At 42.2% G+C, this 14057-nt stretch overlaps 1 pseudogene, besides 2 other annotated features; it reads right to left on the bottom strand.

Moving 5' to 3' along the window:
- OR9A1P (olfactory receptor family 9 subfamily A member 1 pseudogene) lies at window positions 1141-1929 on the bottom strand (annotated as a pseudogene).
- Window positions 12201-12701: an enhancer, noted in NCBI's record as "H3K4me1 hESC enhancer chr7:141576176-141576676 (GRCh37/hg19 assembly coordinates)". NCBI's record gives its function as "activates a minimal SCP1, AML or CMV promoter by ChIP-STARR-seq in primed H9 embryonic stem cells {active_cell/tissue: H9 hESC(primed)}" and the evidence as "EXISTENCE:reporter gene assay evidence [ECO:0000049][PMID:30033119]".
- Window positions 13175-13737: an enhancer, noted in NCBI's record as "NANOG hESC enhancer chr7:141575140-141575702 (GRCh37/hg19 assembly coordinates)". NCBI's record gives its function as "activates a minimal SCP1, AML or CMV promoter by ChIP-STARR-seq in primed H9 embryonic stem cells {active_cell/tissue: H9 hESC(primed)}" and the evidence as "EXISTENCE:reporter gene assay evidence [ECO:0000049][PMID:30033119]".

The following is a 14057-nucleotide window of genomic DNA, read 5'->3' as shown; positions in this document are numbered from 1 at the left end:
TAAGATCTTCCATCCATGCCTGAGAAGGCCCACCAATTTGAGATGCACCTGTAGGAGCACGCATTCAGCCTTAAGATTGCTAAGCAGTTAGGGTCGGGGAGTGAGTTCACTCTCACAAATGCCAATCGGAAAACCCAAAGAAAGGCACTATCGCTATTGGACACTGCAAGCAGGAATCAACGACGAAAGTTTGAAGCTTGTGCTGGCCCTGAGATTACTCAGGGAAGTGCTAGTGAGTTTACACAATAAGACAACACCTTGAAACCACGTGGCAATGTAGAGGAAGATAATCTCGGCACATAGGATCAAATATGTCAGAGGTAAGAAAATATATCACACTTGGCCGGGCGCAGTGGCTCACGCCTGTAATCCCAGCACTTTGGGAGGCCGAGGCGGGCCAATCACAAGGTCAGGAGATCGAGACCATCTTGGCTAACACAGGGAAACCCCATCTCTACTAAAAAATACAAAAAAATTAGCCGAGCGTGGAGGAGGGCGCCTGTAGTCCCAGCTACTTGGGAGGCTGAGGCAGGAGAATGGTGTGAACCCAGGAGGCAGAGCTTGCACTGAGCCAAGATCAAGCCACTGCACTCCAGTCTGGGCGACAGAGCGAGACTCTCTCTCAAAAAAAAAAAAAAGAAAAGAAAAGAAACAAAGAAAGAAAGAAAATATATCACACTTCTCTTGTTTTTCCCATTATCAGGACCAAGGGTTCAAAACATTGAACATCTTTCAGATGTTTACACTTCTCACATTTATTTTGCAACATGCATTATAAGTACAGAGGGCTAATAAATGTATACATCTATTTATTTTTTAAACGATGTATTAAAAGAATTTAATACAAAATGAAGCCATGTCATAGCTTAAATATCCATTGTAGATCATGAGCTGTTTGATTTTGAGAATGATCATTTTGTTTCAATTAGTACTATCAGATTACTCAAATCCATGATGAGGATTTGAACTGTACTCAGGACAGACTTAATTTTTAAGGAGTTTATAGCAGTGTTTCATGCCATCTCCAAAGGCCTGTATGAATTTGTCATTCCTCAGGGTGAAGATAAAAGGGTTCAGAAAAGGGGTCACCACTAAAACCAGCAGTGACACTACCCTGTTATACTCGGCTGCCTGCGTTTACTTGGGTTTCACGTAGAGAAACAAGCAGCTGCCATAGCCAATCACAACATAGGTGAAGTGGGAGGCACAGGTGGAAAAGGATTTCCTCCAGCCAGAGGCTGACGGAATCTTGAGGTTGGTGGAGATGATGTAGGTGTAGGAGACAATCGTAGGGATCAAAGAACCAATGATAATGAAAACAGCCATTAGAAAAAGAATAAACTCTCTGAAAAGAGTGTCCTCACAGGATACCTTGAGCAATTGTCCTCGGTCACAATAAAAATGATCTAACACACTTGATTTGCAGAAAGTAAGCTGAAAAGTGGCATAAACTGGCCAGATTTCAGAAAGAAACCCCAAAACCCATGACACAATTATCACCCAAATGAAGGTGCTGCTGTTCATAATGATGTTGTACCTCAAAGGGTTACACACAGCCACATAACGGTCCACAGCCATCACTCCCATTAATGCCAACTCCAAGGTACCCAAAGAAAGGTATAAATATAGCTGTGCAGCACAGGCTGTCAAAGACATGATCTGGGTGCTTGGAAGCAGCAACCCCCAGAGCATAAAAGGGACAGCGGTGGATGTGATCAGGATCTCCAGGACACAGAGGTGGCCCAGGAAAAAATAAATGGGGGACTGCAGACATTTATCAACACAGACAGTGATGATGATGACCACGTTTCCCATCACTGTCACTGCATACAAGAGGAAGAAGGTCGCAAATAGGATACGGCATACTTCTTGGGAGCCAGGGAAGCCTAAGAGAAAAAATTCAGTGGCGCTAGAGTAATTCCCCAACATTTACTTCTGAGTGCTTTTCCCTTCTGAAATCTAGAGAAAAAAAAAAGAGTTAATATGGCTTCTCATCGCAACAGAAGTAGAAACTGTTCTGAAATCCCCCTCCTGCTCACAGGCTGCACAGCATGACTAGAATGGTAGGCATTTGTCTTCTACTATTCCCTGTATATGGTCAGGCGCGATTTTTCTTTTCTTTTCTTTTCTTTTTTTTTTGAGATGGAGTTTCACTCTTGTCACCCAGGCTGGAGTGCAATAGCATGATCTCAACTCACTGTAACCTCCACTGTAACCTCCTAGGTTCAAGAGATTCTCCTGCCTCAGCCTCCCGGCTAGCTGAGATTACAAGCATGTGCCACCATACCCAGCTAATTTTTTTGTATTATTAGTAGAGATGGGGTTTCACCATGTTGGCCAGGCTAGTCTCAAACTCGTGACCTCAGGTGATCCACCCGTTTCGGCCTCCCAAAGTGCTGGGATTATAGGTGTGAGCTGCCACGCCTGGTTTAGGGGCAATTTTTCTAACTATGCACAATATGCCAAGAAAATTGAGTTGGCCAAGAAGATGATCCCAGTCCCCAGTGCCATACCTTAGACATGAGAGCCTATACCCTGCCCAGCATGCACCATTGCACCCTCAATGCTCAGTTTACCTGCCTCCCACTCTGCTCTGAACAGCCAGCAGTCAGCCTCCAGGACCACAGTGTATTCATTTCTACCACTAACTCCCTTCCACCTGGAAGGTCCTAAACTACTCTGTCTGCCAAGTATTTTCTGTCCTGTAAATTCCTGCTCCAGTATCATGTTCTATACAAAAGTTTTCCTGGCCAACACCCCTGAGCTGGCTACTTGATTTCTTTGTTTCATCAGAATGTAGGTTCCATTTACAGGATGTTTATTTTAAAGCTTCTGCCTTACCTTCATCATCATTGCTGTGCGTTGGTGAGAGTGAGGGTAGGGAAGTTTCCTGAGGAGTTTCTATAAATTCTCGAGGGCAAGGACTGAGTATCTCTCAATCTACTAGTCAGCTGGTTCCCTGCATGGATTACTCCTTTCTTCCTCCCTATCTTGGGAAGAAAGCTTCCCTTGCTCCTGTCCTCAGTAAATGTGTCTTCTCACAGAAGGCAGGCAACCAGCACCTGGGCTGAGTTGAGCCTGACCATCTCTCTCTAAGACTCTGACAACTCTTTCCACTGTTCTTAGAGAAAGAAAATTCAGGCGAAATACAGAGGAAAAACTTTTATCCTCAGACTCTAACTGTCCCACACTGAACTTATGCTGGCTCTGACAAATAGGAGACTTTAGTCCCATTTCAACATCCTCTGGCTTCAGGATAATCCAAAGCCCTGGATCCATCAGGAGACCAAAACCACCAAGTGTGACATCTGGGTTCAGCCCATGTCCTAAATACAGATGGCTTTGGTCTCGGTCTAACAGTAAATTTAGGAAGTCACCTCAGGGCCTATATTTCTTCTATGAACACATTCCTCTCCCAAAATCATATTAGAAATTGAAGATTCCACTGTCACTCACATGAAACAGACCCTGCATCCTGAGTAACTTAGAATTCCTGGGCTTTATTTATCACTTCTTTCAGGTTTTTGGTCAAGTATCTGAGTTCAAATTTTCTCTTCATTCTGTCTAAAAGAACACACACAACCCTTCACTCTCTATCACCTCATCAGAATATATTTATCTTTTTAGCGCTCATCATGAGAAATTATATGTTTACTTTTTATTTTCTGACTCATTTTACAATGTAAGCACCACGAAAGCAAAAAGATTGTAATTTTTATTCACTATATCTCATACAGAATGAGGTGGTACTACTTTTGAGTGAATCAATGAATTGATCAATTAAAGAATGAATCTGTGAACAAAGCCCCTCCAAATCAGGCTATAGCCAATGCTAAAAGAAACTGCTTTCTCTCCCTTCTGTCTTCACTGAGACAGTGATCAGTCATAATTCAGTCCTCTCTCTGAGACCCCTTATAAAATGGCAGTTGGGTAACAAGTACAGACTTGACGGAAGAGCTCAGTAGAGTGATTTCCACAATCTCTCTTTACCCAGAACCAGATGAAAAGAAAGTAGAGATGATGTCAAGGATGGTTTTGACAATAGCAAGGAGTTGTACTGCATCCAGCAATGAATCAGAGAAGAAGTGAAAGTGCTCTCTACTGTACAGGGGGAATTTGGAGATGAGCCAATCTCCTTTGCCTCTCTCATAGCTTACCCATTAGGGTCTGAATGCCCTTGCTCTAGAAAGTTGGCAGGTCTAAAACTTTCCATCCTGAACCTCTCTCACTCTTTTCTACACAGATGGAAACTGCTGGAATTCACTTACCTTCAAAGAAATTGAAGTGAAAAGCCATATGACTCTAAGTCTCAACCCAGACTACATCATGCCTGATTAGTGCTGAGACTGCTCTGTGGCCCAGAAGAAGCTACGACTTCCTCCCTCTCGGTGAACGAGAAAACTGTCTTCACATATGTATTTAGGAAAAGGTCCAGAAATCATAGTGCCATGGAATGCCCCACAGTTTCTCTCTTTCTCTCTCCCTCTGTCTTTTCTTCTTCAACGTGTCTCTAAGGAATGTTATTCATTGAGGAAAGTTAGTTCAGAAAAACCCTAGGGATGCAGGGAAGGAGAAAACAAAGGAAGTTTCAGATCTTCCCTCCTGAGGCTAATCAAGATTTAGAACTCCTAGAAGTTTGGTATAATGAGCAAAGTTAAAATCTTCCTCATCAAGAGTGTCCCAACATCCAGGTTTCTTTTTGCTACACATTGAATCCAGGTTAGCATCAAACTGTTCGAGTCAGCCCCCTGTGCTTTTCTAAATTTATTTATTTATTTATTTATTTTGAGACAGAGTCCCACTCTGTCACCCAGGCTAGAGTGCAGTGGTGCAGTCTTGGCTCACTACAACCTCCGCCTCCCCGGTTCAAGTGCTTCTCCTGCCTCAGCCTCCTGAGCAGCTGGGACTACAGGCACACGCCACCACGCCCGGCTAATTTTTGTATTGTTAGTACAGACAGGGTTTTACCATGTTGGCCAGGATGGTCGTGATCTCTTGACCTCGTGATCTGCCTGCCTCGGCCTCCCAATGTGCTCTTATGTTTATTTCCCTAATTCCACTTAGCTCTACAAAGCCCAAGTTATCAGCAAGCAGAAAACTCCACAAAAGTTTCCAAGACACACATCAAAAATCCTCAGGGCAGGGAATAGTGCGTGATGTGAGCAAAATATTAGCCTAGGAAGCTCCAAGCTCCTTTCCCTCCAGAGAAACAAAAGAAAACAGCAGAAACTGTCAGAACCAACTTCGCCAGAACTCTGGAAAACATTCAAAGTTTTTCAGGAACCAAGCAAACACTGGTTCAAGAAGAAGACAACTTTAAAATGTTAGGAAAACTTCTTCATGTGTTTTTTGGCTGCATAAATGTCTTCTTTCGAGAAGTGTCTGTTCATGTCCTTCGCCCACTTTTTGATGGGGTTGTTTGTTTTTTTCTTGTAAATTTGTTTCAGTTCATTGTAGATTCTGGATATTAGCCCTTTGTCAGATGAGTAGGTTGTGAAAATTTTCTCCCATGTTGTAGGTTGCCTGTTCACTCTGATGGTAGTTTCTTTTGCTGTGCAGAAGCTCTTTAGTTTAATTAGATCCCATTTGTCAATTTTGGCTTTTGTTGCCATTGCTTTTGGTGTTTTGGACATGAAGTCCTTGCCCACGCCTATGTCCTGAATGGTAATGCCTAGGTTTTCTTCTAGGGTTTTTATGGTTTTAGGTCTAACGTTTAAATCTTTAATCCATCTTGAATTGATTTTTGTATAAGGTGTAAGGAAGGGATCCAGTTTCAGCTTTCTACATATGGCTAGCCAGATTTCCCAGCACCATTTATTAAATAGGGAATCCTTTCCCCATTGCTTGTTTTTCTCAGGTTTGTCAAAGATCAGATAGTTGTAGATATGCGGCATTATTTCTGAGGGCTCTGTTCTGTTCCATTGATCTATATCTCTGTTTTGGTACCAGTACCATGCTGTTTTGGTTACTGTAGCCTTGTAGTATAGTTTGAAGTCAGGTAGTGTGATGCCTCCAGCTTTGTTCTTTTGGCTTAGGATTGACTTGGCGATGCGGGCTCTTTTTTGGTTCCATATGAACTTTAAAGTAGTTTTTTCCAATTCTGTGAAGAAAGTCATTGGTAGCTTGATGGGGATGGCATTGAATCTGTAAATTACCTTGGTCATCACTGGCCATCAGAGAAATGCAAATCAAAACCACTATGAGATATCATCTCACACCAGTTAGAATGGCAATCATTAAAAAGTCAGGAAACAACAGGTGCTGGAGAGGATGTGGAGAAATAGGAACACTTTTACACTGTTGGTGGGACTGTAAACTAGTTCAACCATTGTGGAAGTCAGTGTGGCAATTCCTCAGGGATCTAGAACTAGAAATACCATTTGACCCAGCCATCCCATTACTGGGTATATACCCAAAGGACTATAAATCATGCTGCTATAAAGACACATGCACACGTATGTTTATTGCAGCACTATTCACAATAGCAAAGACTTGGAACCAACCCAAATGTCCAACAATGATAGACTGGATTAAGAAAATGTGGCACATATACACCATGGAATACTATGCAGCCATAAAAAATGATGAGTTCATGTCCTTTGTAGGGACATGGATGAAATTGGAAACCATCATTCTCAGTAAACTTTCGCAAGAACAAAAAACCAAACACCGCATATTCTCACTCATAGGTGGGAATTGAACAATGAGATCACATGGACACAGGAAGGGGAATATCACACTCTGGGGACTGTTGTGGGGTGGGGGGAGGGGGGAGGGATAGCATTGGGAGATATACCTAATGCTAGATGACACGTTAGTGGGTGCAGCGCACCAGCATGGCACATGTATACATATGTAACTAACCTGCACAATGTGCACATGTACCCTAAAACTTAGAGTATAATAAAAAAAAAAAAAAATTAAAAAAAAAAAAACAAAAAAAAAAACAAAAAACAAAACAAAACAAAAAAAAAAATGTTAGGAAAACTTTATCATGTTTTTATTTACCTGTGCCTACACTATCTCCAGCTCAGCAGAAGTCTGCATCTCCAGTATGGAACTTGGGACTCCGCTTCCAGAGGGAGCAGAACAAACCTTAATCAGAAAGTACTGTGTATGTCTATTCAAATAGGTCTGGGGCTACCTGAAGGACTCACACAAGGTCCTCACCTTGTTCACCCAACATAGCAGAACTCACTCATGATGAAAAGTGGCAGGTATTGCTCAAGAGCATTATAAGAACAACTATAATCCTACAGTTACCTAGAGTAAAGATTACTATTGAGACATGCAACCCACCATCTAATGCCTCAGAGGAAATGTTGGGGAAAGTTTTTTTGGGGGGGAATTATGGAGTTCAAATGTACCTGTGGGGGAAATGATGGCCAACTACACACAGCCATGGAGCACCTCTCCCACTGAGAGAGCTCAAAATATCAAGTAAACCAACATATTTCAAACAGATCTTCATAGAGAAAACAGAGTTTATAGAGAAGCTATGCAGATGCCTAAGCTGAAGAGGGAGGAAGCTGGAAATCCTGTACAAGGTTTCTCAGCACTAGTACTAGTCACCAGCCCTAAATACCAACTAAGTAAGGGGTGAATGAATTGATTGCACAGATACTCACTCTTGCTGCAGACCTCTAGGATACTAGTTACAAAAGACCCCACAACCCCCACAGACATTTAAATTGGCAGAGAGATCTTCCCAAAAAGTAGGCAGAGACAGCTCCAGCCTAGTGGAGTCTAGGAGATTTTTGCACGTCGTGCAGCTGCAGCAAAATGCTACCATAGGTGCCCGTTCTCCAAGGCTCTCATCTTCCTCTGAGTACCTCTAACCCCAGCTGGCTGCTGGACCAGGAGAGAACAGGGCTTCCTGTGTGCTTGTGGCATTTCTGTTCTGCATAACCCTTATCTGCTAGCTCCTTCCAAGTCAACTGCCTGGCTGCTGCCACAAGGGCATGTACACAGCACAGCCTTCACTGTCCAGCATAAGTGCTTTGCTGGCAGCCCCACCTGAATGCTTTCCCGGGGGCCTGGAAGCACTTTGGCTCCCCTAACACAGCCAGCAGCCAACCTTGAGAGGTCAGAGGACAAAGCGATGAGCCAGGTCCCAATACCCCAAAAGGAACAGCACACAATTCAAGAGTGCCAAACTGAGATCTTTGGCTGGTGCTTATGCAGGGAAAGAGCCTCCACTCTCAGAGCACTAAGAAGACTAAGACGCAGGCTCATGGGCAGGTGTGGCAGTGGGGCATTCCTCTTTCCACAGGGCAGGTCCAGAAAGGGTGTGGCCTGTCTGTCAGACATAGGTTTTGCCCAGGGGAACCCCACAGCTTGGAACACCAAACAAATGAAATGCAGGCATGGTGCCAGTGATTGGAGGAGGCTCCCCTAAAACCTGGCAATGGAACTGGCAAGGATGTCATCTTTCTCCCACCCCCCACCACAGAGTACTGCTGTAAATGCACTGAAAGATAAAAGATCCATACAGTTGAGTAAGAGCCTATCTGCTGGCTGTTACTCTTCAGTGCTATCTACTGGATCATAGCCCAAGTTACTACACCAAAAATGTTGTTCCAGTATATATCACCTGTAAAACCCAGGGCAAGAACCTAGCGACAAATAAAGGTCCTGTGCAGAGCCTTGGCCCTCTGAAAGGACTCAGAGACAAAGCCAATCAACTATACTCAATTTATACCACAATTAAACCCTCAAGAAAAATAAAAATTTTTTCAAAGCCCCATTCAAATGAAAGCAAATTCAAAAAGACAAAGGGACACCAGCCCTCTCAAATAAGAAAGAACCAGCACAAGAACACTGGCAATTCAGAAAGTCAGAGTGTCCCCTTACCTCCAAATGAGCATACTAGCTCCCCAGTAACGGTTCTTAAACAGATTGAAATGACAGATATTGAATTCAGAACTGGAATGGTAAGGAAGCTCACCAAGATAAAGGGAAAAGTTAAATCAATCCAATGAATCCATTAAAACATGCAAGAGTTGAAAGATGAAATGGCCATATTAGGAAACAATCAAATAGAACTTCTGAAATTAAAACATTCATTACAAGAAATTCACAATACGATCTGGAAAAATAACAACAGAATAGACCAAGCTTGGGAAAGAATCTAAGACCTTGAAGACAGGTCTTTCAAACAAAGTCAGCAAGATAAAAATAAAGATAAAAGAATTTTTAAATATGAAGAAAATTTCTGAGAATTATGAGACTATATAAAGAGACCAAACCTATGACACATTGGTATTCATGAGAGAAAAGGAGAGAGAGTAGGCAACTTGGAAAACACATTTAAGAATATAATTCTTGAAAATTTCCCCAATCTCACTAAAGAGGTTGCCATGTAAATTCAAGAAATAGAGAAACCTCTGCAAGATACTATACAAGACAATCATCCGCAAGACACACAGTCATCAGATTCACCAAGCTAAATAAAAAAGAAAAATCTTCAAAGAAGCTAGAGAGAAAGGTTAGGTTACTTACAAAGGGAACTCTATTAGGTTAAGAGCGGATATCTCACCAGAAATCTTACAAGCCAGAAAAGGTTGTCGGCCTATTTTCAGCATTCTTAAAATTTTAACGGAGAATTTCATATCATAAGCTAAGCTGTATAAATAAATGAGAAACGAAATTCATTTCAGACAAGCAAATACTAACGGAATTTGTAATCACTAGACAAGCCTTACAAGAGGTGCTTAAGGGAGTACTCAACATGGAAACAAAAGGATACCTGCTACCACAAAAACACACTTAAGCACAAAGGCCACAGACACTATAAAGCAATTACTTCAAGCCCACAAAACAACAAGCTAACAACACAATGAAAGGACCAAGATCTCACATATTAATATTAACCTTCAACATAAATGGTCTAAATAACCCACTTGTAAGGTATAGAATGATAAGTTAGATTTAAAAATAAGACTCAATTGTCTGCTGTCTTCAAGAGACCGATCTCACATGGAAAGACACCCACAGCCTCAAGGTAAAGATACGGGGAAAGATAAATCATGGAAAGAAAAACCAAAAAAGAGCATGGGTCATTATTCCTATATCATATAAAATAGACTTTAAACCAACAACAATCAAGAAGAATGGAGAACAGACTTACATAATAATAAAGGGTTCAATTCAACAAGAAGACTGAGCTATCCTGAATATATATATATACCTGACATAGCAGCACCCAGACTCTTAAAACAAGTTCTTCTTGGCCTATTAAATGACAGTGACAAAATAATACTGGGAGACTTCAACACCCTATTGGCAGCATTAGACAAATCATCAAGGCAAAAAACTAAAAAATTCTAGATTTTTAAATTTTTTTTATTTTTTCATTTATTTGAGATGGAGTCTCGCTCTGTCACCCAGGTTGGAGTGCAGTGGCGCGATCTCAGCTCACTGCAAGCTCCGGGTCCCAGGTTCACACCATTCTCCTGCCTCAGCCTCCCAAGTAGCTGGGACTACAGGTGCCCGCCACCAGCCTGGCTGATTTTTTTGTATTTTTAGTAGAGATGGGGTTTCACCGTGTTAGCCAGGATGGTCTCGATCTCCTGACCTTGTGATCCACCCACCTCAGCCTCCCAAAGTGCTGGGATTACATGCGTGAGCCATTGTACCTGGCAGAAATTCTAGGTTTAAAACTTAACACTCAACCAATTAGACATCTGCAAAATATTCCACTCAAAAACCACAGAATATACATGTTTCTCCTCTGCACATGGAGCATATTCTAAGATTGACAACATACTCAGTCATAAACAAGTCTTAATAAATTCAAACAATTTAAATTATGCCAAGCATACTCTCAGACCATAGTGCAATAAAAATAGAAATGAATATCAAGTATTTCTTTTCATGGAAATTTAACAACTTGCTCCTGAACGACTTTTGGGTGAATGATGAAATTAAAGCAGGAATCAAAAAATTCTTTGAAGTTAATGAAAATTGACACACAACATATCAAAAATTTTGGCCTGCAACAAAAGCAGTGTTGGGGAAAGTTAATAGTGTTAAACACCTACATCAAGAAGTTACAAAGATCTCAAATTAACAATCTACTGTCACACCTAGCGGAACTAGAAAAAAAAAAAAAGAACAAACCAATCCCAAGGCTAGCAGAAGAAAAGAAATAACTAAAATTAGAGAAGAACTGAACAGAATCAAGATGCAAAAATCCATACAAAATATCAATGACACCAAAAGTTTGGTTTTTGAAAGTATAAATGAGAGATAGACTGTTAGCTAGATTACCAACAAAAGAGAGAGAGAAGATCTAAATAAATACAATGAGAAATGACAAAGGTGACACTACAACTGATCCCATGGAAATACAAAGTATGTTCAGAGATCATAATGAACACCTCTATGCACATAAATTAGAATATCTAGAGCAGTTTCAGAGAGCAAGATGGTCAACTAGCCGTAGCCAGGTGGAACAGCTGCCACGAGGTACCCAGATGACTGGCACACTACTTACAGATCTTCAGAGGGAAAGCACTGAGAGTGGACAGAGGAAAGACACAGAAGGTGTTCTAAAGGGGAAGGAAGCTGGGAACCCTGCACAGGGCAACCATGCATTGAGACTGACTTCTGGCCCCACACAACTCCAGGGGATCTGGTGAGTTGAACTGGAAAGGAGCAACCTGTTCTCACGATGGGACTCTGAAATCTCAGCAGCAGATATGTTGACCACCATGGACACCTGAGTTGACAGGGAATGCTACTTAGAGAAGTGGTAGGGGCAGCACACCAGCCGAAGGTGAGCCCAGAAGGTTTGGTGTGGGAGCGTCTATAGTGGAGCATGTCCAGGGAAGCACAAATCTCCAAGTTCGACTTGCTACCATAAGAGAATTTAGCCCTAGGGGAAAGGTCAGACCTAAATTCTGCAGGGCAATCTTGGCCATCAGATAGGACTGCTCTGAACTGAGCACCCCTGGGTCTGCTGGGGCCCCAGTCTGGTAGCACCTGCTTAGAGGGCAGCCTTGGGTGTCTTCAGGGCCCACATCATAGCTCCGGTGCTGGTGGACTGTGCCTGGCTAGCAGAGAACTCCACTGAGGCAGCCCCTGTGGCCACTCAGCAGCCTGCCTGCCCCTCCCCACACTGCAGCTTTCTCAGGGCCCACGGAAACCCCTCACATTGCTTTGCTGGTATGAGTGTGCACAGGCAGGTTTTGCCTTCCTTGCACTGCCAGCAAGCCTGTGTGCATGCACCCCACACTGCCACTGCTGCAATGGGAGTACACTCCACTCCCCTTTTCCCCACAAGACCCCCATTGCAGTCCAAGCCTTGGAAGGCACACGGTCAGCCAGTCCTGCCCCTGCCAGCACCCTGCCCTTTTGCCAGCACTGCCACACAAGTGAAACTAGGCACAGACAACAGTGAAATCTCCCCCCTGTCCTGAGCTACCACTCTTGCCTGTGGCACACAGAGAATGCACACAGAGCTGAACCTATCAGCTCCCTGCCATTGTGCTACCACCACCACCAGTGCAACTCTGTGCAAAGTTGCCAGCAGGAGTCCCCACACCCTAGAACCCTGCTGCCTCCACCACTGTAGAAGAGAGAAGATCCAAAGATCCAAGAAGAGAGAAGATCCAAATACAATCAGAAATGACAAAGGAGATATTGCCACTGACCCCACAGAAATACAAAACCCTCAGAGACTACTGTGAATACTGCTATGCACACAAGCTACAAAACCTAGAAGAAACATATAAATTCCTGGAAACACACAGCCTAACAAGATTGTACCAGGAAGAAATTAAATTTATGAACAGACTAATAATGAATTCCAAAATTGAATCAGTAATAAAAAGCCTACCAACCAGAAAATCTCCAGGACCAGACAGATTCACAGCCGAATTCTACTAGATGTATAAAGAAGAGCTGGTGCCATTCCTAATGTAACTATTCCAAAACATTGAAGAGGAGGAATTCCTCCCTAACTCATTCTATGAGGCTAGCATTATCCTGATACGAAAACCTGGCAGAAACAAAACAAAAAAGAAAACTTCAAGCCAATATATTTGATGAACATAGATGCAAAAATCCTCAACGAAATATTGGCAAACTGAATCCAGCAACTCATCTAAACGCTAATCCTCCACAGTCAAGTAGGCTTTATCACTGGGATGCAAAGTTGTTTCAATAATACAAATCAATAAATGTGATTTATCACATAAACAGAACTAAACATAAAAACCACATGATTATCTCAATAGAGGCAGAAAAGGCTTTTGATAAAATTCAGAACCCCATCATGTTAAAAACTCTCAATAAACTAGGTATTGAAGGAACATACCTCAAAATAATAAGAGCTGTCTATGACAAACCCACAGCTAACATCCTACTGAATGGGCAAAAGCTGGAAGCATTCACCTTGAAAGCCAAAACAAGAAACTCTCTCTCACCACTCCTATTTAACATAACATTGGAAGTTCTGGCCAGAGCAATCAGGCAAAAGAAAGAAGTAAGACACCTAAGTAGGAAGAGAAGAAATTAAACTATCGCTCTTTGCAGATGACGTAATATACCAACAACAGTCAATCTGAGAGCCAAATCAGGAATGCAATTCTATTCACAATTGACACACACACACACACACACACACACACACACACACACGCCTAAGAATACAGCTAACCAGGAAAATGAAAGAGCTCTGCAAAGAAAACAAAACACTAACTCAGAAAAATCAGAGGTTACACAAACAAATGGAAAAACATTACATGCTCATGGATATGAAGAATCAATATCATTAAAATGGCCTTAACGCCTAAAGCAATTTATAGATTTAGTGTTATTCCTACTAAACTACCGATGGCATTCTTCACAGAACTGGAAAAAAAACTACTTTAAAATTCACAGGGAACCAAAAAAAAGATCCTGAGTATCCAAGGCAATCCTAAGAATAGGTAGGCCATAAAAGCCACAGGTCTTGATTAGGCCTCAGTGCTACAAATCTCAATGGCCATATGATTTGAGTGAGAGCCAAGGCTACATCAATGTCAGTGGCCATGGGATTCCTTCTGTGGCAG

The sequence above is a fragment of the Homo sapiens genome, chromosome 7 (genome assembly GCF_000001405.40).
Source record: "Homo sapiens chromosome 7, GRCh38.p14 Primary Assembly".
NCBI classification, from domain to species: Eukaryota; Metazoa; Chordata; class Mammalia; order Primates; family Hominidae; genus Homo; species Homo sapiens.
The sequence above is the reverse complement of the archived record's forward strand: the minus strand, read 5'-3'. Positions and strand labels throughout refer to the sequence as shown.